General features: G+C 37.8%; 1 protein-coding gene across 9 annotated transcripts in view; it reads right to left on the reverse strand.

The window, feature by feature from the left end:
- MDGA2 (MAM domain containing glycosylphosphatidylinositol anchor 2) overlaps positions 1–22,983 on the reverse strand; it is an 835,983-nt gene that overhangs the window by 498,420 nt on the left and 314,580 nt on the right. For 4 of the 9 annotated variants that reach the window (NR_103766.2, NM_182830.4, XM_047431048.1 and 1 more), the window contains exon 1: positions 5,056–5,204. The exons of 4 other annotated variants lie outside the window; for them this stretch is intronic. Coding sequence is in view for 1 of the 5 variants with exons in the window: in XM_011536519.3 (XP_011534821.1) it covers positions 4,900–5,044 (145 nt within the window). In the remaining 4 variants the exon portion in view is untranslated. Of the gene's footprint in view, positions 1–4,899; positions 10,104–22,983 lie in introns of those variants that run through there. One more of the 9 variants, XM_011536519.3, reaches the window with a different exon arrangement.

The raw sequence follows: 22,983 nt of genomic DNA on the forward strand, positions 1-22,983 counted from the left end.
AACAGAACGATTTTGTTCTGAAAGTATCTAAAAATAATCTGTATGTTTACTTTATTCTTTCTACTAATCTAGGTGAGACAAGCCTGGTTTTCAATAGCTGTTATACCTTAATTGTGTATTTGTTCTTTTTAATTAGCATGCCATCAAACTAGATCATGAGGATTAGAGTGAATGAGATTTCATTTTATTTGATATGGTCTGCTTTAAACAGCTTGTGCATGTTTATGGAAATCATTTTACTGTCTAGATAGGATATATTAAATATGTAGCCTCTGAAGAACTCTATTATGCCACGGGAGAGAAGAAACATGATGCTAAAAACACAAAAGGTCTATCTGGATAGACTACATATCTTGCTAGTATCATGGGCTATAATGTCCTCATATATATATATATGAAATATATATAGATATGTTTATTTTTGAGAGACATGAATATTAGTCTCTTTTAAAAGGCACATTATCAATCCAGCTGTATGTTTGGAATCATAACCAAAGGCAGAGTTCACATAATACCTAAATAAGCACTTCTAAGAAAATAGTTGTTCAAGTAGGTTGGTGAAGAGTGGTAGCCATTTTAGTCAATCCGTCAAGTTAAGAATTCTGCAAAGATGTAGTGGTAGGTTCATGGACACCTCAACATTCTACTCACAACACAACAATTGCTTTCTTTGGAAATAAAAGGTATCTATAGATTCAGATAAGGCTATTTCACAGAAGGCATGTTTTCGAGCTATGAGATATTATGATTCATTTCTTCAACTCTGAAATATTTGCAAGTATGTCAAACCCAGTAGTGAATATTTTCACTCCTGAAACTTGATGTTAAGCAACATTAAGGATACGTAGTGTTGTTCATATGATGTACAGTCCTTTCTAACTGGCTCACAAAATCCTAATTTAATTATCACAGTACTATTAGCCATTACCTTCATCAGGAGCTGCTCATTTTGAAATTTTCTATGGGCCTATTAAGTATTTAGAAAGAAAAAAATGTGTCTATTTTATACTGATTGAAATTAATCACTAATAATAAATTTGTATCTTTTACAGGGAGTCTATTTAAAATGGACTATCATGTCTTCATTTATAATCATATACTCTTCAAAGTACAAGGGTGTGTATGTCATATTTAGGGGTATAAAAGAATGAGGGAACTGGCATTAGTATTTAGAAAATGAAACACTATTTTTTGCATGGCTTTATTTAATATTAGTAATATTTTATTTGCAATTACAAATAATACAAAAAGAGATTTTATTTTTCTCAAGAAAAGAGAACATAATTAATAAAAGTTTAAAAATAGTATTCTGTAAATTATACTGCTATAGTTTGGATATGGTTGGTTTGACCCCTCCAAATCTCATGTAGGAATTTAATCCCCAGTGTGGTGGTATTGTGGTCAGTGAGATCTAGTGGGAGGTGTTTGGGTCATGGGGGCAGATTCCCTCATGAATGGCTTAGTGTCTTCCTGGATGTAATGAGTGAGTTCTTGGTCTGTGTGCCTGTGAAATCTGGTTGTTATAATAAAAAGAACTAGGCATCACCTCCAACTTGCTCATGCTTCCTCTCTCACCATGTAATCACTGCACATGCTGGCTCCCCTTCCTCTTTCACCATGAGTGGAAACAGCCTGAAGCCCTCACCAGAGGCAATTGCTGGCACCATGTTTCTTGTACAGCTTGCGGAACAATGAGCCAAATAAACCTCTTTACTTTCTGAATTACAGAGCCTCGGGGATTCCTGTATAGCAACACAAACAGACTAAGACATACTTAAAAATTTTATAACAGAAAGCATGATTTCTGTGGCTAACTTACATTTACATAAGCATATGTATATATACATTATATAATCATGAGTTTGTATCCACACAGGTGTTTTCCCTAGTAATGCCAGTCCTATTCTGAATTTTCAACAAATTCAGACTTACATAGTCCTAAAAAATAATAATAGAATTTATCAAATATGTATGCTCTAAAGATAGATATATGAGTAAGAAATTGCTTTTGATCTTAGACTCATATTAGAATTAGAAGAAGAAAGGAAAAATAGCATTGCAGTGCTGTTGGCTGGCTACTCGGAGAGGCCTTCCAGAGACAATCTTGATAGTCATAATTTAGGGGTCCTCAGTTTCACAGGTAATCATTTAATTTTCTCAGCACAACCAGAGATCACAGCAGGATATACTCAATTGGAATGATTCTGGCTAGCTAAACTCTCCAGACATCAATGCATAAACCAATTTATAAATAGAATTCCTACTTGTCAATTTATAATGAAAAATAGGAGTGCCAAACAAGCCAAACATCCTTTATCACTGTGGTCTTTCCCAGTCAGTAAACCAAAATGAAAAATAAAAAATAGCCAAAATACTAATTTTTACTCATAATTTCAGGATCCAGGGTAATTATATAGAATACATCAATAACGAGTGCCATCTAGTTATCCTACTCTGGAGAATCTATCTCAATCACAGAGATATAATTTCCAGATGGGTCTCTGATACTGGTGGCACTGTCACTTGTTAGTGCCAAAACCAAACCAACAATTCATTTCAAAATTGTCTTAAAAATTCTTACTGACCTCTTAGGGTTTGTGAATGTAGCCTTTTATGAGACAGAGTAACAAGAGCATCAGCAAAGAGTTTGCTGCCATTTCTTAATGCAATAGCATGGCAAATGTCAATTAAGTTCCTCTTTTCTCATAAATCTGGACTCAGTCTTCAACTCATTCTCAGACCAGGCAATCACTACACGTTGATTATAATTGACATTTTAAATGAAATTTGTTTATTTCAGAGATAGAATTAAGTTTCAGTCATGTTATATATTCAAACACTCAAGATCCAATGTCATAAAATTCATCCCGCTTTGTTATGCTGTTTCTGTGATTTTAGACCCAACACTTAAGAGAATATTGATTCAGGTTGGTTGCTTGTACTGATGATTGGTCCCACCCTCTATATTTAATTTCCTATAATTTCATTCTGAATGAAGGCCTTATCTTCACATTTTAACAGCAGCTTGTTGTTGCTTTCTATATAAGAAACTGCATTCAGTTTCATCTGCTATCTTATAATGTGGCTAACTTACATTTCCCTCCACATTGATCTTACTCTAAACAGTCCTTTTAAGGAAGATTGCAGTTAGTAACATGCAAAGAAACAGTTGAATTTCACATAATAGTGTTGGCTGGGAAACTATTTCTTAAGAAAATGCAAGTGAAATTAATAATATTCGCCATAAGAAAATCCAAGGATTCTGGGCTTCCTGATGCAATGGTATGTGGCCAAATAAGCTGATTTTACACATGTCATAGAGTGAAGTGACTAAATCTGGATTACTCTTTTCAACACTGATGACGATAAAGTGTAAAATGAAAACTATTTAAAGTGTAAGAAATATCTGCTCTTTGGTACGTAATTTCTTAATTTGGAGTAAATTCTAAGTCCAGGTTTTGTTCTTTAATGCAAAAATAAAACAAATACACTCAGTTGTTCAAGAAAATCTGAAAATAGGAAGTTACTTCAATGCAAATAATATTTTCTTTGATAATACATATTTGACTAAGACAAATCCATTTTAAAATTTAAAAATGATCTCTGTAAGTTTTTATGTTCCTTGGAAGAAAAGTGTTATGTGTTTTCCTTTCCCTAGAAGTAATTGAAATATTTTTGTGCAGTTATCTGTGTTATTTTGGCGGCAGCTATTTGCAAAAGACAGAGGGCTGAAGTGGAGAAAACAGCAGCATGGTATTGTGGGAGAGGGTGTGCCTAGAACCTGAACCTGGCTTCTTTCTTTGTCTTTTATTTCAAGACAGACTCTCGCTCTGTGGCCTAGGCTGGAGTGCAGTGGTCTGATTTTAGCTCACTGAAACCTCTGACCTCCCGGGTTCAGGCAATTCTCCTGCCTCAGCCTCCCAAGTAGCTGGGATTACAGGCCAGCACCACCAGGCCCGGATAATTTTTGTATTTTTAGTAGAGACAGGTAGTAGAGACAGGTGCACCATATTGGCCAGGCTGTTCTCAAACTCCTGACCTCAAGGGATCCGCCTGCCTCATCCTCCCAAAGTGTTGGGGTTACAGGCGTGAGCCACTGCGCCTGGCCTGGCTTATTTCCATTCATAAGCTAGGCCTATGAGTTCCTACATCGGGATTTTATTTATTTAAACTTGCTAACAGTTACTGAAAATTTATGTCCAGCACAAAATGTTTATATATATATATATATATATATATAAAATATGTTATATATATAAATATGTGTGTATATATATTTATATAACATATATAAATATGTGTGTATATATATCTTCTACAATTTCTATATGAAATGAACAATAATTATTCCCACTCTACAGATGAGAAAACAGAGGTTCATAGCTAGTGAATGGTGGAACTGAGATTCAAACGTTAGTATCTCTTATTTCACAACCCACGTTCTTATATTCTTTACTACCTTCCACTTAAAAACCTAGAACTAGGAAAATATACTCCTTTCAGAATATTGTTTTCTTATATCTGTGGAAGCAGTAGCTAGTTTTCTGTGATAGGAGTAGAAAATGCAGCTATATATTTTACTAAGAAGAATTCCAGCACAGCATAGAAATAATGCGTAGTCTTGTGAAGATGTTGACCCGGAAAAACGGAGAAATGTTTTTCAGGTAGGCCTACAGTCTGGAGAATGGGTGCTCAATTGAGGATATTCTTAGAGGAGATAAATTGTCCTAGATTTAGGCAGATAAAACACTTACAAAAGTAGCAGCAAATTCTTCTCCATGTTGTACTTCTATTAAACAAAGAAAACTTCCTTAAACACTTAAAGGCTAGGTTCCGTGTGGGGGAAAAAAGAGGAAAGGAACTCATTTCATACTTGGGATAAATTAGGGAAAACCATACCTTCTGAAGTCACAGTAGTAGGAGGAAGGAAAGGCAGCTTTGCCTGGCAGAATGCTACCTCAGGGGAGTCAGCCACAGAGTGGGAGAAGCAGGCAGCACTACCGTGAGTCCTGCGGCAGATCCCAAGGGATTCATACTTGAACATGGAAGCCTCACCTTGAATAACCAGATGCTCGAGGCACACAATAATGAAACAGCTGAGGTTACTTTGAGGACTAATTTCCACTTATCATTCTGGTACAGGCTCAAGCTATTAAAAGGAATGGTGATTTTTTTTGTTTGTTTGTTTTTTTCAGGAACGATTATCGAATTCCGGGCATTGTATTACATCAGGAAGGCAATGTTAACTAAGTTCTAAGTAGTAATGAGACGCTGTGAGTCTATTATGAACTGAATACTCCCACAGCTCAAAGGAGGACAGAAAGTGGTGTGAAAAGCCTAACTTTGAACCAAACATAAATATATGTTTGTGTTCTTTGTATCATGTCACTACATTTCACTTATCAGTCTCATGTATAGGCAGCCATTCCATTTTTCCATTCATTTTGTCATTTTTCCCTTAATGGTTTTCACGATGGCTTCTTTTTAGCTTTATCTTCAGTTGATATAGCATAATTAACTGCCACAGAGTAAAAATATTTTCTCTAACAAAAAGGAAGACCCAAAGGAACAAAGATGCCATTTTCATTAATTATCTAAATAAAATGACATAAAGATACAAAGGAAAGTTATTTATCTCCTTAAAAAGTTTTCATTTAGTTAATTATAATTTCATATTGCTCTGTTAATTGATTTCTTAAAGCTTTCCCTAGTGCTCTAGGCCTTTTTTTTCTTCTGTATTCAAACATTCACAATTATATGAGCTCTATCATTTTAAAATGCATTAAAAAAAGAAAACAGTTAAGGTAATATGCATTAATTCAGAATAAAATAGCCATATGTCCCTGAAAACCAACAAAGCTATTCACTATTCAATTCAACAACGGAATCTACTACTTTAAGGCTCACTGATTTATCCTGACTCTTGGAAAAGAGTGTATACCTCCGCGCATCTAGAAATAACTGAACTGTCATTCTTGCCCCTCTGAGTGCAAACAGCTGATCACTGTTTACCACACAATCACTCTCAACTACTCAGTTGTTTCCCTCATTTTCTTTACAATTTCCTTCTGCCTTCTTTATTCTTGGCATTTATCAAAAACATTTCTTTTGAGGGTGAAGAGATTTATTTATTTATTTCCTAAAGAGGAAAGAATCTTTAGTTTTGGCATGTGCATAAGTCAAATATTTTTCACAATGCTGTATTGTCAGGACAAATGTTTTGCCTCTCATCCTGTTGTTAAAGACTGGCCAGGGTGGGGCCTACTGACATTCCTTTGTATTAAAACCTCCCTTCCATAATTCACAAACAAACAGTTTTGATGTAATATTTTGCCAGGCAAACCAGAGCCAATTATTAAAATAGTTGATTCTTCCCTTAAACACTAGTTTGCTGTCCCAGAATGATTATTATTAAAGAATGTGAGCTTCTCAAATTTTTTACAAGATGTATGATGGCTAATAACAATAAGCTGTAAATAGAGTTTGGTATTTGGGTAGGTTCTAAATAAACAGAAATATAACAAATCTCTGTTGTTATTTTCTTTGTTTTTGTTTGTTTGTTTGTTTTGATTTTGGTATACTGGTCCCTTGGCTCCATGAGAGAAGACATTCATTAATTAATATCTGTGGATAGAATATTAATATTTATTAACCTATATAAAAATATTTTGTTTGTTTCTTTTTTCGCATGTAAATGATGATGAGTTACATGCAAAAAAAAATACTTTCCCAAGAGCTGGCGAAATAGTATAATTTAACAATTTTATTACATTATCATAAAATTGCAACTTAATATGTGACTACAGACAGGGGTGTCTCTGTGTGTGTATGAGAGTGTGTGTGTGTGTGTTTATGACATACACAAAATCAATGAATTGGTAATCATTATTTAATAACAACTTCTAAAAAAACTTACAGGAGAGACATAGAAATGAAAGTAGAAATGTCTGGGCATATTTGATGTTAATATTTCAACCAAATGTTTTGTGAATGAAAATGAAAAATAAATGTCTACATTTTTTTTCTCACATTTCTCTCCTTAGGGAATATACAACCTCTGCCAGAAGAGTTCAAAACCAATAAAAAAAGGAAGCAAACCCCATTTAATATATATTTTTAGCTAGGACTTGGCAAACTCAGATGCCAGGAGTAGTTCTACAGTTCTGAATACTAAATGTTCAACAGATGGCTCTCCTTCGATTTTATCCAATCTGGAAATGCCCCAACCGGAAACAAAGATGGTCTTCAGCCTGTCCCCTTTATAATAAAATATACTTCCCACACATGCTATAAATAGGAAGGTAAGAATTACAATCTGGTTTTATAAAATAATGAAAGTTAAAGGACTGCACCAATATTCTTTATGCAAATAAATATCTCCCCAAACAAGTTTTCATATCCATTTGCAAGTGAAGTATCAAGAGAATAAAAGATGAAGAAAAAAATGAACTCAAAGATGTTTTTAAATTCCTACTTTTAGCAATTTCTGGGTGACAACTCTCAACTATCTAGTGCCTGTACAATTTGAAAATTTATATCCATACCCCCACCCCTACTTCCAACTCTCAAAAAAAGCTACTTGGTTAAACAATAAAACCACAGAAATCTGACAATTTCCACAGCATGAGGATTTCTCCACTGTAAGACTGAAGATGAATTACAATGAAGCTTAAAGAATAGTCATAAATTAGCTAACTGAAATACTAGACATTTCATATTCACAGAAGTGTAGCATGTGTTTACTGTTTTCATTATAAACACAAATACATTTGGGGATAGTATCTAAGTGAGTGGAGTCAAAAGTAGCTCTTTTCAAATAGTCAAGTTTTTTAGCTAAAAAAGTTGATCTCATAGAAGTAAAAAGTAGAACAGAGGACACTAAAGGTTGGGAAGGGAAGAGGGAAGGGAGGAATGCAGAGAGATTTCTTCAAGGATGCAAAATTATAACTAGATAGGAGGAATGCATTCTAGTGATCTGTTCCACCGTAAAATGACTATAGTTAACAATAATATATTATATATTTTCTAATAGCTAGAAGGATGATATTGAATGTTCCCAACACAAAGAAATAATGAATGTATAAGGTGACGGATATGCTAATTATCCTGATCTGATCACTATTATATGTATTGAAACCACTATGTGCCCCAAAAATATGTACAATGATTATGTCAATTTGAAAACTAAAAATTAAAAATTTAAAAACAAAACAAATAGTCAAGCTAACAACAGTTAACGGACAGCTAGTAAGTAACATAGCAAACATCCAATAAGCGGTAACTATTATTCTTGTTTTATTGTTAGTTGTAATCTGCTAGGCATCATATAATCTTGTGTCTGATTAAAAAATATGCAAATTTTATACTTCAGCACTTTAAAATTTTAGCCAGTGTGGGACAGAAAAAGCAAAACTGAAGCAGAGGTTAGAGGTTATCCTAATTGCATTTTTAAAAATCCCTTTCTTTCTGACCTTGGACAAATCCCAAACTTTCTGTTTTGGTTCTTTCATGCATAAAACAATAGTCCTTCCTACTCAGAGAGTTGTTCTTAGTATTGCATAACATGTTTATGAGAATACTTTACATATTAGATATTAATATTCCCTCCAACTGGAGTAAATATTCTTAATTATAGTTTTCTTATGGCACACATCCTATTTTTGTTAATTCACTCAAGAAACATTTATTTACCATTTATTGTGCCTGCCAGCATTCCAAGTACTGGGAATACAATAATAGATAAAATTGATAAGATTTCTGCCCTTGCAAAGCATATAATCCATGAACAATATAATTCATGGCAGATAAAGATAGAAAAGCAGGCAATTACAAAGCAGTAAGATTTTAGATGGTGAAGTATACAGAGTGGGAACGGTTCAGTGTGTCTTTTTAAGAAAGGCTGAAAAAAACTTGGTACCTATCTGAAAATGGAAAGATGAGACTAATGGAAGGACAACTGGGACGGGGGAGTGCACCACAAACACAACCACTGTGTTTAAGGAAGTGAAACTCTTGCATGGCTGCTTCTAAAGTATATAAAACAAGGATTGAGAAATGATCAGACGTAAGTAGGGGACCAACTAAACAGAGGTCTGCAGCCACATTAAAAAGCCTGAACTTTGATTTATGAACAATGAATTTTAAGCAGGCAAGCGACATGGCCAGATTTTATTTTTAAAAGTCATTCTAAAAGCAATCACACGTAACGGTTTCAATAGGGAAGAACGTGTTAAGAATGGATTAAGAATGGGTACCTTGAGGAGACTGAGGCAATAATGCCCGTATTTGAGAGTGGTATGTACTTTAGAAAAAGGCAGAAAACATGGCAATGAGAATGGATAAAGGTGATAAATGTAACATGTTTTGATGGTAGAATTTTAAAAACGTGGCATTTTATTTGCCAGTGAGTAATAACGGGCATAAAGGAATGGAAAGAATTGGTAACTAGTCTAATAGACAAGATGACTCTAAGGTATCTGTCTCGAACTTCCAGGTGGTTGCTATTGTCATTCACTGTGCTAGAGAAGACAAGAGGAAATATGGGTTTTGGAAAATTGTTTGTTCAGATTTCAACATGTTAAGTTTGAAATGTTTGGAGCACTGCAACATGAAACACAGGATAGAGATATGGAATGGAGATAAAGATTTGGGAATCATCAGCATACAGTGGAAATTAGTCATGGGAATTTTGATAATCCAATGTAAGTGTAGGAAGCAGCAGAAGAAAGTGTGAAGGACATCATTACGATGTCCAATATGTAAAAATGGACAAATTCCACAAAAATGACTGACATGAAATGACCTGACATATTGGTATATAATGGGAAAAGTGCAATGTTATAAAAGCCAAAATATAAGGAAATGTTCAATAACATCAAGTGCTAGGAAAAGGTCAAGCAAAATCAGAATTGAGAAAGGTCCCAGGAAGAAGACAAGAGTGAAGTTTTAGGTGGAGAAGGCCGACTGAATTCAGAGATGAGAAAATAAAGTCAGGAGTATAAACTTTTTCATAAAAAGCCTGTCTATAAAGAGAAAAGTTTAGCTGCAGTAGCTGGAGGAATACTTAGAATTGAAGAAAATAATTGTATTGTGCTCTGTCTCTCTCTCTCTCTCTCTCTCTGTATATGTGTGTGTGTGTGTGTGTGTGTGTGTGCTTAAAATAGGAAAATCCTTAAATTTTTTTTTTTTTTTTAAGATACAGTCTCACTCTGGAGCCCAGGCTGGAGTGCACTGGTGTGATCTCACTGCAACCCCTGCCTCCCAGGTTCAAGCGATTCTCATGCCTCAGGCTCCAGAGTAGCTGAGATTACAGGCGTGTGACACCACGCCCAGCTAATTTTTGTATTTTTAGTAGAGATGGGATTTCACCATGTTGGCCAGGCTGGTCTGGAACTCCTGACTTCAGGTGATCCGCCCACCTCAGCCTCCCAAAATGCTGGGAGTATAGGCATGAGCTACCGCATCAGGCCCCTTAACATATTTAAATGCTTATGGTAAATTCATGAGAATTAGAAATTAAATATAATTGCTTGAGAGAGGGGGATAGTTTCTCGAGAAGGCAAAAAGGGATGAAATCCTTTGCACATTGGAGGGATGTGACTTAGAAAGGAACAGAATACCTCCTTAACTGTAGCAGAAAGACCCAGAAACAGAGATGGAGACAGAGAGACAAAGGCAGAGTGGAAAAAAATGAGTGCAGAAGCAAAAATCTTTGTAGAAATTGGTGGCAAGAACTTAAGAAAATTTTATTTTAGCGGCTTCTGTTAATCTAAAAGTCATTGCTGAATTTTTGAGTAGAAGAGGGAGTTAGTTTGCAAGTGGAGAAAAGTTGAATTTTAAAACATCTCCCAAGAAGAAATGGAGAGAGAATTACTGAGAAACATGAAATATTTCCTATGTACTGAGAATCCAGTGGAGATTGAAAGGATGGAAAAAATAAACTTATAGTGAAATCAATCTTTTTGTTTATTTGGACTTCTTTGGCAGTATACAGAATTTGTGGTGTAGGAGTAAAGAAAATAAACAGTTGAATTGATACAAATATTGACAAGCAACTGTAACAGAGAGACAAAAGGGAACTGGAATTGAAAGTATTCCCTAGAGCCTACTTGAAGTGATGAACGAAGAAATACAACGTGATAGGGAGACAAGTGCTAATAGAAAAGGTCTGTCAGAGGGCAGTAAAGTTTACCGGCACTGGATTGCCCTAGACATGAGTCCAAATGCCTCTTTTTCGTTTCTTAAATGTTTAACCTGGGCTGAGTCATTCAAAGAGATCAAATGGGTTTAACCTCTTCAGGTAACAGTTATGCACTTATCATATAATAAATACTCAACAAATGATAACCATCATTATTGCTATTGACAAAGTCAAATATTTATAGTTAAGATAAAATGTTTAATAGATACCACATAATACATATCTTCAAATGCAAATTAGTTAGGTTGAAATAAGCTTCCCTATTTACAAAATTATATGTGACTTTTCAAAGCAACTATACTATCTCCTTAAAATAATAAACTTATCTTTCTTTGGCACAAAGCCTTTTTTAGGAGTATGTTGGCATTTTTGTTTTCATTTTAAATTGTCTTTGAAAACATTCATTTTTTAAAAAAAACATGAATTAGTTTTCAAAAAGAAAAGATCTTACCTTCTAATAATAGATTCTGAAATGTTTAGAGATAAAAGGCAATCGATACTAGAGTCAGTCCTTTCTGTTCTTCTCTGAGCTGCAAATTAACTGCTGACCTTTCCAGGTCCATTCTCTCTTCTTCTCATTCTTTTACCCCCAGAAGGTTGATCCTTAAAGTCATGCATTAACCTGGCCCTCCTTTGCCTGCTGCCTTCCATGTGGCTCCAGCCAGTGAGAGGCACTGGCAGGAGATGAGAGGGCAAGAGCTATCACATCAGATACATCCATTTCTCGAAGGCAGGACCTGCCCTGGCTTAAGCTTCATTTCAGGAAATAGGACGGGGACCTTATAACCCTGAAGTCAGCATATGACTGACTGTGTCCATTTAGATCTCTGTATATTGCTTGGAATTCGATTCCCTATCATGCTCCAACGATGTTCTGGAAATCTTTTTGTTAACTTTACTACTCCCCCAGGACAGAATCTGCCTTCTTTTAAACAGTCACCTGTAACTAACCCCACTTTATACCATGATCTGCAACTGTATTGTGTGTAAGTTCACCCAAGGGCACTAGCGCATTTCCTGGCCCAGTGGAAAAGTAAGAGTTCTATATGCTGCTCTCATTTTCTGGGTGGAGTAATATTAAAGTAAAATAATACAGGGCATTTTCAAGGGTGGAGAACTGTCCAGTTAAGCTACAGCATAGACAGGGATATGGAAATAGCAGGTAGAAAGATTAGGACTCTAAGTGGGAGCCAAAACATTGGGGGCATATCTGAATAATACCGTTACCTATTTAAACATAAATGTTGTATATGAAATTCTAAATATACAAAATACAGCATGTTCAAAATGAATTGGTCATTTTTGTAACAGACATCGTGTGTGTGTGCACGCGTGTGTGTGTGTGCGCGCACACGTGGGAGTGTAAGACAATATAAATAATTGAAGCCTTCATTCAAAAAACTTCTGAAATAATTTCTAAAATCTAGAATTCCACTGGGAGAATGTATCTTAGAGGCAGAGACAAGTAACCCTAGCATTTTAATAAATTTCCATTTCAATAGCTCTCAAGTACCTAAGTAATTTTGGTAGCTAGATCCAGGGAGCATGAAGAGATTTCAATACAAAGTTTCAATAAAAGACAAGGGAGTTCTGAGTGCAGTGGGAAAAGGATAGTCAAAGGAAGAAGAGTGGTTGCCTGTGCAGGTGGATTTCTATTATGTGATCAAATATTGTTATTATTTATTTAGAGACGGAGTCTCGCTGCAACACCCAGGCTGGAACGCAATGGCACAATCTCGGCTCACTGCAACCTCGGCTTCCTGGATTCAAACGATTCTCCTGCCTCAGCCTCCCGAGTAGCTGGGACTACAGGTCAGTGCCACCAGGCCCGGCTAATTTTTTTTTTTTTTTTTGAAACGAAGTGTTGCTCTTGTCCCCCTGGCTGGAGTGCAATGGCACGATCTTGTCTCACCCCCGCAACCTCTGCCTCCCGGGTTCAAGCGATTTTCCTGCCTCAGCCTCCCGAGTAGCTGGGATTACAGGCGCCTGCCACCATGCCCCGCTAATTTTTATATTTTTAGTAGAGACGGGGCTTCACCATGTTGGCCAGGCTGGTCTCGGACTCCTGACCTCAAGTGATCTGCCGGCCTCAGCCGCCCAAAGTGCTGGGATTACAGGCATGAGCCACCGCACCTGGACTGATCACATCTTGAATTTCATGATGGGCACCAAACTGACAGCTGCCAAAAATATCAATAATTATAACTATATTTTTATCCTTTACCCTTTAGCAAACTGTAAACTCAAGGGCCAGGATTCAACATCTTTAAGATTATAACTATTCTTGGTTAAGGCTCAATAAGCACTTGCTAAATGAGATACAGGGTCTGAAAATCGTCTATCTGGACTCTTAGCCTTTAATGAGTTTCTTGTATATCCATTGCCCCACCTTATTCACTGAAAAGGTCTGCATCAATTATGCTATTCCATTATAAGTTTCATGTTAATACCTAAGAAAATAAGCCAATCATCCTTTTAATTATTATGATTTGCTAATGGATATGGAGCAGAAATCGTTTCACAGATGATTTCAGTGAAACCAGAAAAAGTACCTCAAATACTTGAAGTTACAAATAATAAGAATAATTAGTAAAGCCTCACTATATCTTCAGCAGAATTTCATTCTAGGACTTATAGATGTTATATGCTCTCTAAATTAAACACACACACACACACACACACACACACACACACACAAACATATATATATACACATATGCATATATAATTCCATGAGACTTATCATGAAAGGATCTTTTAAGAAAGAAATTAGTTTCCTATTCTATCCTGAGTTTTGGTTTCCTCTTATATAAAGTAGGCAAAAGGAGTTATCAGGATTCATTGAAATAACATTTATAAAACACCTGGCACATGATTATTTCAAAAATTAAATGCAATTTGTTCTTGACCCTGACACCCATCAGCCTCAGCAACTTACCTGGGCTGTACTGCTGCAAGGCTTCACGGACAGCCCCCATTACTTTAGTCAAGCCCAAATTTCTTCCTCATCGGTTACCTATCTCAGCATAATTCTTCATGAAAACACACGTGCTCTCCCTGCTGATCGTGTCTGGTTAATCTCCCAAACTCCAACCCCTTCCACAAAATAACAACTGCTTTCCTTCCTAGGCATGGTTAGGTACTTCTGCCTTTGGATACCTAGTTTTAACCATCCTGACTAAACCATTGTATAAACTCACAAAAGCAAACCTAGCTGACTCTCTTTTTGGACTCAGCCCACCGGCACTCAGGTGATTAAAAAGCTTTATTGCTCACACAAAGCCTGTTTGGTGGTCTCTTCACATGGACGCAACTGACAGTTCTTACATTTAGTATGACTTGCTCACCTAATCTCATTTTTTCCTTGCAAGATTATTGTGAGAAAAAACATGGCATAATATTTGCAAAAGGTTTTTGTAAATCATAAGTTACTAAACAGATAGTAATGACTATTTTCAGTAAAGTTACTACAATACTATTCCCTACATTTCAATATCTCCCATTTTGTCATTAATCTTTTTTTTGTGGTGATTATTTCGAGAGCATTTGAGGAGGGGACATGCTTTACTTTACAATGCTTCATGCTTTAGTGAATAGTCTGGAAATGTTGATGGCTGTTGTGATACCTCGGTTCTTTTCTTTTTGGCTTAAAAGAATTTAAATGAGACACACAGCAAAGGAGATGCAGTATAGAATAATTCACTGCAAAAGAAAAAGAATATTTTGAAAGTTAGGTGCAGAATAGACAGTACACCCTGAAAGAGAGGATTCAGGGTGAGCAGCTTGTAAGGATGAGGCAACATTAATTATTGCTTGAGAAACTCCCTTTATTGGAGTTTTACATGATTATTCAAGAGGAGGTGGCAAGAGGTGTTACTAGCAAGCATGTTCTGGGTGGTCTTCTGGGTGCACATGCACAGTAGCTGTACATGCTTGCTCATACATGGCATATTTCATTAGCATCTTAAATCTCCACCCAGGGGTGTGTCTTTTACTATTACAATGAGCAAAAGGAAAGGTGAAATGAAAATGCATATACTTTCTAGAAGGGAAAGTCCCTACTGAAGATAGCTTTGCTTGAATGAGCTCAATTACAATGAGAATGCTAAGGTTTATTGTGTCGGATGTATGGTCACTACAGTTGCTGCTGCCAGGAAACATGATCATTTCCTTGACTACCTCTCCTGCCTCAGTAAGTCATGTGTTACAAGCTACATTGTGTTCTCTCAAAATTTGTATGTTGAAGTCCTAATCCTAGTTCCTCAAAATATAATCACATTTCGAGAAAAGATCTTTTAGGAGGTGATTAAGTTAAAACGAGATTGTACGAAGGAATCTGAATCCAATCTGCCTGGTGTACTTATAAGAAGAAACAGAAAGCCTGAGTAGACCAATAACAACAACAACAAAAGAAACCGTAGCAGTAAACAGCTTGCAACAAAGAAAAGTCCAGAACCAGAAAGCTGCATGGCTGAATTCTGCCAAACATTTAAAGAACTAGAATCAATCCTTCTCAAACTCTTCCAAAGAACTGAAGAGGTGGGAATACTAACTCATTTTACAAGGCCATCATTACCATGATACCAAAGCCAGAAAAATACGCTACATGAAAAGAAAACTACAGGCCAATATTACTAATGAATAAAGGTACAAAAATCCTCAACAGAATACTAGCAAATTATTTTCAACTGTAAATTAAAAAGATCTTTCACCACAATTAAGTGGGATATATCCCTGGAATACAAGGATGGTTCAACTTACCCAAATCAATAACTGTGATTCACTACATTAATGGAATAAAGGACAAAAACTATATGATCATCTCAATAGATATAGAAAAAGCATTTGACAAAATTCAACATCCTATCATGAGAAAAATTCTCAACAAATTAGGTATAGAAGGAAAATTTCCTCACAGGCCATTTATGAAAAGCCCGCAGCTAACATCATAATCAATAGTGAATATTTGAAAATTTTTCTTCTAAGATTCAGTGCAAGACAAGGATGCCCATTCTCACCTCTTCTATTCAACATATAACCCATAGTCTGTGGGTTTTGGGGTACACACTGTGAAAAAGTACCTACCTGCAACCACTGCACATTGAGTTCTTGTTGTTTCAAAAAGTTCTAGGAAGAAGCTCAGCCCCAGAACAACAAAAAACAGTCAGATCCAGAGATGCCTGATTTGGAGATAAACTTTGGCAAATTCTCACCACCAAACATGCTAAAAACCCCACCCAGGGAGGAGTTTATTGTCCATTTTTATACATGTGACATATGAAAAAGCATGATCAGCAACTGTGCCTGTGCTGCCGCTACTCCACCTCTAAATGCAATGACTCTGATAACCAGCCTCATGAAAGGCTCTTTTCACCTCTCTTCGGGGAGGCACTGCTTTGAGAACTATCCCCAACATTTTCTTTACTTGTTGCAAATAATAAAACCCCTTGTTAAATCCACCTTGGTTGTGGTCATTAGACTGTCACCCAAGCGATCAAACAAACCCTGTCTTTGGCTGGTTGGTGCCCTGGGGGATTGAGAGACATATCCCTTGTGGTCACTGGTAATCTAGATCTGGCTAACAAACAGTGAAATTAACTGTGAAGATAATTTTTTTTTTCCAAAAAGATGGGTTTAAGGTCTTTAGGTGTGTGTGGTGGGCGAGACATTTCCCAAAACCAGAAGGGACCCAAGTATGCCCAGAAACCCTCAACCTTGACAGGCTGGGAAAATTTTAACTTAGGAGAAGAGGCTCTTACTACCTGGGTACATTCTGGGTATGTTTTCAGATATGTTTTTAAAAGAAGGGGCAGCTACTGTGCCCGATGCCTGGGTAGGTAGGCAGCACAGTTGGAGTTTGTGGGGAGCATGCAGGGCTGCATTAGGGCCCCACCAGCTTACCCTCGCACATCTGCTTATTTTTCTTTTACACATCAGAGAAGTAATGATCGCATATCAGTATAGCCAATACCTTTTTACTTAAACCCCTTGGGACCTATGATCAGCCCTGAATGAGGACCCAAAGGTATCAGGAACCCAACCTCTCTCCCGGAGAAAGGCCCATTAGGGTGCATTCGCTAACGCTGGAAGATCTTTGGGTATTCCCCAATGACTGAAAAGCAGATGATTTTCTTCTGCAATACAGCCTGGCTGTAGTGGGCCCTAGCAAGGAACCATGGTGGAATATCAGGTCATTTAATTACCATATCATTCTACAGCTAGATCTTTTCTGTAAGGGATAAGAGAAATGGGATGTGATACCCTATGTCCAGTGTTTTATGGCCCTGTACCAGAAAAGGACCCTATAGATATAGTGCAGGCTTTGCACTCTCTAGGTGGGACCACCCAGATCTCCCACTAAACTGCCAGAGAAAGTGCTCCCAATCCTAGAGAGCCCCCCAGATGAGGAGGACTTCCTCTGCTCCATAAACCTCAGGAAACAAGAGGACAGAGAGAGGACGGCTGTCATCCCAACCACCTGGGCCTTCCCCACCTCTACAAGAGAAGTCACTTCCACAGCCAAAGTACCAGGGGCTTCCTATTCCCACTCCCAGCATCAATCCTCCTCTCCCAGTTAGCGTAACCCTGAGTGGGAACTCTCAGAAGCTAGGAGGCAGATGCTTCTCTTTTGACAGTTTCTGAATGGGAATGCACATTTCATCTGAGTGCATGTGTCTTTTCTGCTCTCAACCATTAAGGCAACCGCAGTCTCCCAAACCCCACTGAGGTAAGCTTGACCTGTACAAGCCAAGAGACTGGGTATACATCAAGAACTGAAAGACTGGCCTCACCCTGGACCAGCTCAGCCTGCATGGACAAGGCCTGGCCAAATGCTTCTAGGTATTCATTCTTCCCTTAAACTCCAGAGGGTAACACCTTGGATTCATCACTCACGAGAGAAGAAAGCCCAGGAGCCCCTAGAGGACCCCTCCCCAGCACACACTTGTGAACCTGTCAGAGATATCAAATTGGTTTTCAGAAGAAAAGGCTCATATAACTAAAATGTGCCCTTGCCATTCTCTCAACATACTAGGCATCTTTCTCACCCTTGTAGGAACCCCTATGCTTATCGCCCTCTTTCACTCTGTTAGGTCCTCAATTGATAGTAAAGCCCTCCATATGACACCTTAAAATGAACCCTGTCTTTTCCTTATGCTTCTTGGGCCTCTTAGTTCCCGTGGCCAGTGGTCTCTGGGAGGCCAGTGCAATAGTAAACTTCTCCCATGTTATAGCTGGTAGAGATAATCTGTCTGAATGTTGAATATGCCATGCGTATCCCCAGACTCAGATGGAGTGGCCTGTTGCTTACCCTTTGCAGGGGAACATTAACAACATGGTGGAAAGAAGGGGATCCAAAATACTGCCTGAACCTATCTCAGCATAAAGGGGCCCTTCCCTGTCTGTGGGTTGTGTGGACCTCACCCCTAAGGGCAATGTCACCATGAAAGTAGACCTCATTTATTTAAATTGTTCAGAAAAAAGAGAAAAGCACCAAATGCATTCAGAACAAGAAGGTAACGGAGGCAAGTCTGATGTCTACCCTCCTTGCCTTTGACCTCACTAAACTTTGCATTCTAAACACCACCCATTGGTGTGCCCTCACAGACAGCTATGGGGACTCGATAGACCCTAACACCAAATGTCACAATCAATGTAAAATTTGGTAAGAGATAAACAACCCCCTGCATATTGCAGACTATCATATAGCACTCCTCGAGCTGTGGGAAGAGCTCCATTGGAAAAATAAATCTTAACGGAGATTTTACTTTTACTTAGCGGAGATTTGTGGAGAATCCTTATCTTCTCAGTGTTATGAGACTACTTCTCCCCTTTGGGGTCCCTAATTACTTGGTTGGTTAAACCGTTTCCTCCCCTCCACAACTTGCAGTGGATTACTCTGTTGTACATAATGTAATATACCTAGGACAGTGCACTGAGAGCCTACAGGGGCTCATCTGGATAATAGTCCATAACGAAACCAACCACTATAATAGACCCAAAAGGACTATTGGACTAATCTTGTCAGACACCAGACTTGCTGTAGGGCTGGCTGCCCCTTGGGGGGTTTGCATGCCATGAGATCACCCTAAAAAAATTTCACCCTATCATCCAACACTTTGGCAGCTAACACAGGGAGGCTCTCGAAAATGTGCATATTTCTCCAAATTCACTAGACAGTGTAGGGTTGGACAATCAATTGGCCTTAGACTATTTACTAGCAGAACAGGGAGGGGTATATGCAGTCACCAGTACCTTCTGTTGCACCTGGGTAAGCACCTCTGGGAAAACAGAGGTTAACGTAAAAGAAATATTCAGATACACAGAATGGCTGCATTCCTTCAACCAGAAGGGTAGCTCAAGCAACAAGGTTTGCAAGACAGTCAAGTCCACTATACCTCACCTCACCTGGGTTCTTCCTCTGTTGGGGATACTAGTGACCACTGTTCCCCTGTTACTTTTTGGTCTTTGAATATTTAAAGTGATAGCAAACTTTGTGTCTTCCAGACTTCAACAGTTTCATCTCTAGCTTGTATTACAACAAAAATATCGGCCCCTTTGAACAACTCCAGGTGACCCCAAAACTTACTTGAACTCAGTAGCGCAAGAGTTTCACTCTTCTAACTTTAGGGGGACTCAATGCCCCTGGTCTACATGAAGTAGTTACAGACCAATGACCTCCAGCTCTAAGAATGAGGAGTAGAATGTCTCAGAGGGGGATTTGTAACCCATAGTCCCTGGGTTTTCTGGTACACACTGTGGAAAAAGTGCCTACTTGCAACTGTTGCACCTTGAGGTCTTGTTTCAAAAAATTCCAGGAAGAAGCTCTGCCCCAGAAAACCAGTTGGATCCATACATGCCTGAATTGGGGATGAACTTTGGTGACCTCTCCTCATTAGTATACTAAAAACCTCACCCAGAGAGGTGTCTATTCACCATTTTCTACGCATAGATGTGGAAGCATGATCAGCAACTGCTCCTGTGCTGCCTTTACTCCACCTCTGTATGCAATGACTCAGCTAATCAGCCTAATAAAAGCCCTGTTTTCATCTTTCTTTGGAGAGTCACTGCTTTGGGAACTTCCCTAGTGGTCTCTGTACTTGTTAAAAGTAATAAAATCCCCTTGTTAAACCTTTCTTGGTTGTGGTCATTAGACTGTCACCTGCCAAGCAATCAAACCCACCCGTTGTGCGGGTATCAAATATAGTACTGAAAGTACTAGCAAGAGCGATCAGACGGTAAAAAGAAACAAAGGGTATTCAAATCGGAAAATAAGTAAAATTATCCCTATTTGCAGAAGACATGATCCTATACGTAGAAAACCCTAAAGACAGCACCAAAACCTTAAGAATGAATTAATGAGTTCAGTCAAGTTGCAGGATGAAAAATCAACATACAAAAATCAGTTGCATGTCTTTACGTCAATAAAGACTTATGCAAAAAATAAGTCAAGAAAACAATCCCATTTATGACAGCATTAGAAATAATAAACTACTTAGGAATACATTTCATCAAGGAGTTGAAGAATCTTTACACTGAAAACTGTAAAACATTGATGAAAGAAATTGGAGAAGACACAAATATGTGGGAAGATACTCCATGCCCATGGATTCGGAAAACTAATATTGTTAAAATGTCCATACTATCTAAAGTGGTATACAGATTCAGTGCAATCTCTATAAAAATTCCAATGGCATTTTTCACTTAAACAAACAAACAAAAAAACTCTAAAATTTGCAGGGAACCACAAAAGACTTCAAGTAGCCAAAGCAATATTGATAAAGAAAAACAAAGTTGAAGACATCATATGTCCTAATTTTAAATTATATTACTGGCCAGGCACGGTGGCTCACGCCTGTAATCCCAGCACTTTGGGAGGCCAAGGCAGGTGGATCACGAGGTCAGGAGATCAAGACTATCCTAGCCAACACGGTGAAACCCTGTCTCTACTAAAAATGCAAAAATTAGCTGGGCGTGGTGGCACGCACCTGTAGTCCCAGCTACTCAGGAGACTGAGGCAGGAGAATCGCTTGAACCCGGGAGGTGAAGGCTGCAGTGAACTGAGATCACACCACTGCACTCCAACCTGGTGACATAGCGAGACTCTGTCTCAAAAACAAACAAACAAGCAAACAAACAAACAAAAAACATTATGTTACAAAGATATAGTAAACAAAGCACTATTGTGCTGCCATAAAAACCAACACACAGACTAACACAACCGAATAAAGGGCCCAGAAACAAACTCAAGCATATATGGTTAACTAATTTTCAACAAGGGCACCAATAATGCACAATGAGGAATGGATAGTTTCTCCAGTGCTGTTGGGAAAACTGGATATCCACAGGCAAAAGAATGAATTTAAGAACTTTATCTTTCACCATACATAAAAAAAGCTACTCTGGAGGCTGAGGCAGGAGAATCACTTGAACCTGAGAGGTGGAGGTTGCAGTGAGCCAAGATTGCGCCACTGCACTCCAGCCTGGACTGCAGAGCAAGACTGTCTCAAAAAAAAAAAAAAAAAAGAAAAGAAAAAAAAACATGATGAAAGAAAAGTCTCTTTATACCATCCTTAGCAATGGTTTTTTGGGTATCACACCAAAAGTTCATGCAACAAAAGCAAAAATAAACATGTAGGGATATATCAAACTAAAAGGCTTCTGCACATCAAAAGAGACAACAAAATGAAAACTCAACTTATAGATTAAGAAAAAGTATTTGTGAACCATATAGCTGATAAAGGGTTAATAACCAAAATATGTAAGAAATTCACACAACTCAGTAGAAAAAAATAAAACACAAATAACTTGATTAAAAGATGTGCAAAGGGCCGGGTGCAGTGGCTCATGCCTGTAATCCCAGCACTTTGGGAGGCTGAGGTGGGCGGATCACCTGAGGTATGGAGTTCGAGACCAGTCTGACCAACATGGAGAAACCCCATCTCTACTAAAAATACAAAATTAGCCGGATGTGGTGGTGCATGCCTGTAGTCCCAGCTACTCGGGAGGCTGAGGCAGGAGAATTGCTTCAACCTGGGAGGCGGAGGTTGCGGTGAGCCAAGATCGTGCCATTGCACTCCAGCCTGGGCAACAGGAGTGAGAGTCCATCTCAAAAAATAAATAAATAAATAAATAAATAAATAAATAAATAAAATAAAATAAAAAATTAAAAGATGTGCAAAGGATCTGAATAGACATTTCTCCAAGGAAGACATAAAAATGGGCAACGGGTATATGAAAAGGTGCTTTCCCAATGAGAGAAATGCAAATTAAAACAACAATGAAATTTCACTTTACATCTGTCAGGAATATTATCAAAAGACAAGAGATAACAAGTATTGACAAGGGTATCGAGAAAAGGAAACCTTTGTATACTGTTGGTGGGAATGAAAATTAGTATATTCATTATGGAAAACAGTATGGAGGTTTTTCAAAACTTTAAAAACAGGGTTTTCATTTGACCCAGCAATCCCTCTGTAGATATATACCCAAAGGAAATGAAATCAGCACCTTGTAGAGATATCTGTGCTGCCATGTTCATTGCAGCATTACTCACAACAGCACAGAAATGAAAACAACTTAAGTGTCAGGTGGATGAACCTGAAAGACATGAGACTAAGTAAAATAAATCAGATACAGAAAGGAAAAGGTTGAATGCATAAAAACAGAGTAACAAGTAGTTACCAGGGATGATGGGGGAAATGGGAAGATGTAGGTCAAAGGGTGCAAAGTTGTAGTTATGTGGGACTAATAAGTCTAGAGATCTAATGTACAACATAAAATCT

The sequence above is a fragment of the Homo sapiens genome, chromosome 14, assembly GCF_000001405.40.
Source record: "Homo sapiens chromosome 14, GRCh38.p14 Primary Assembly".
Lineage (NCBI taxonomy): Eukaryota > Metazoa > Chordata > Mammalia > Primates > Hominidae > Homo > Homo sapiens.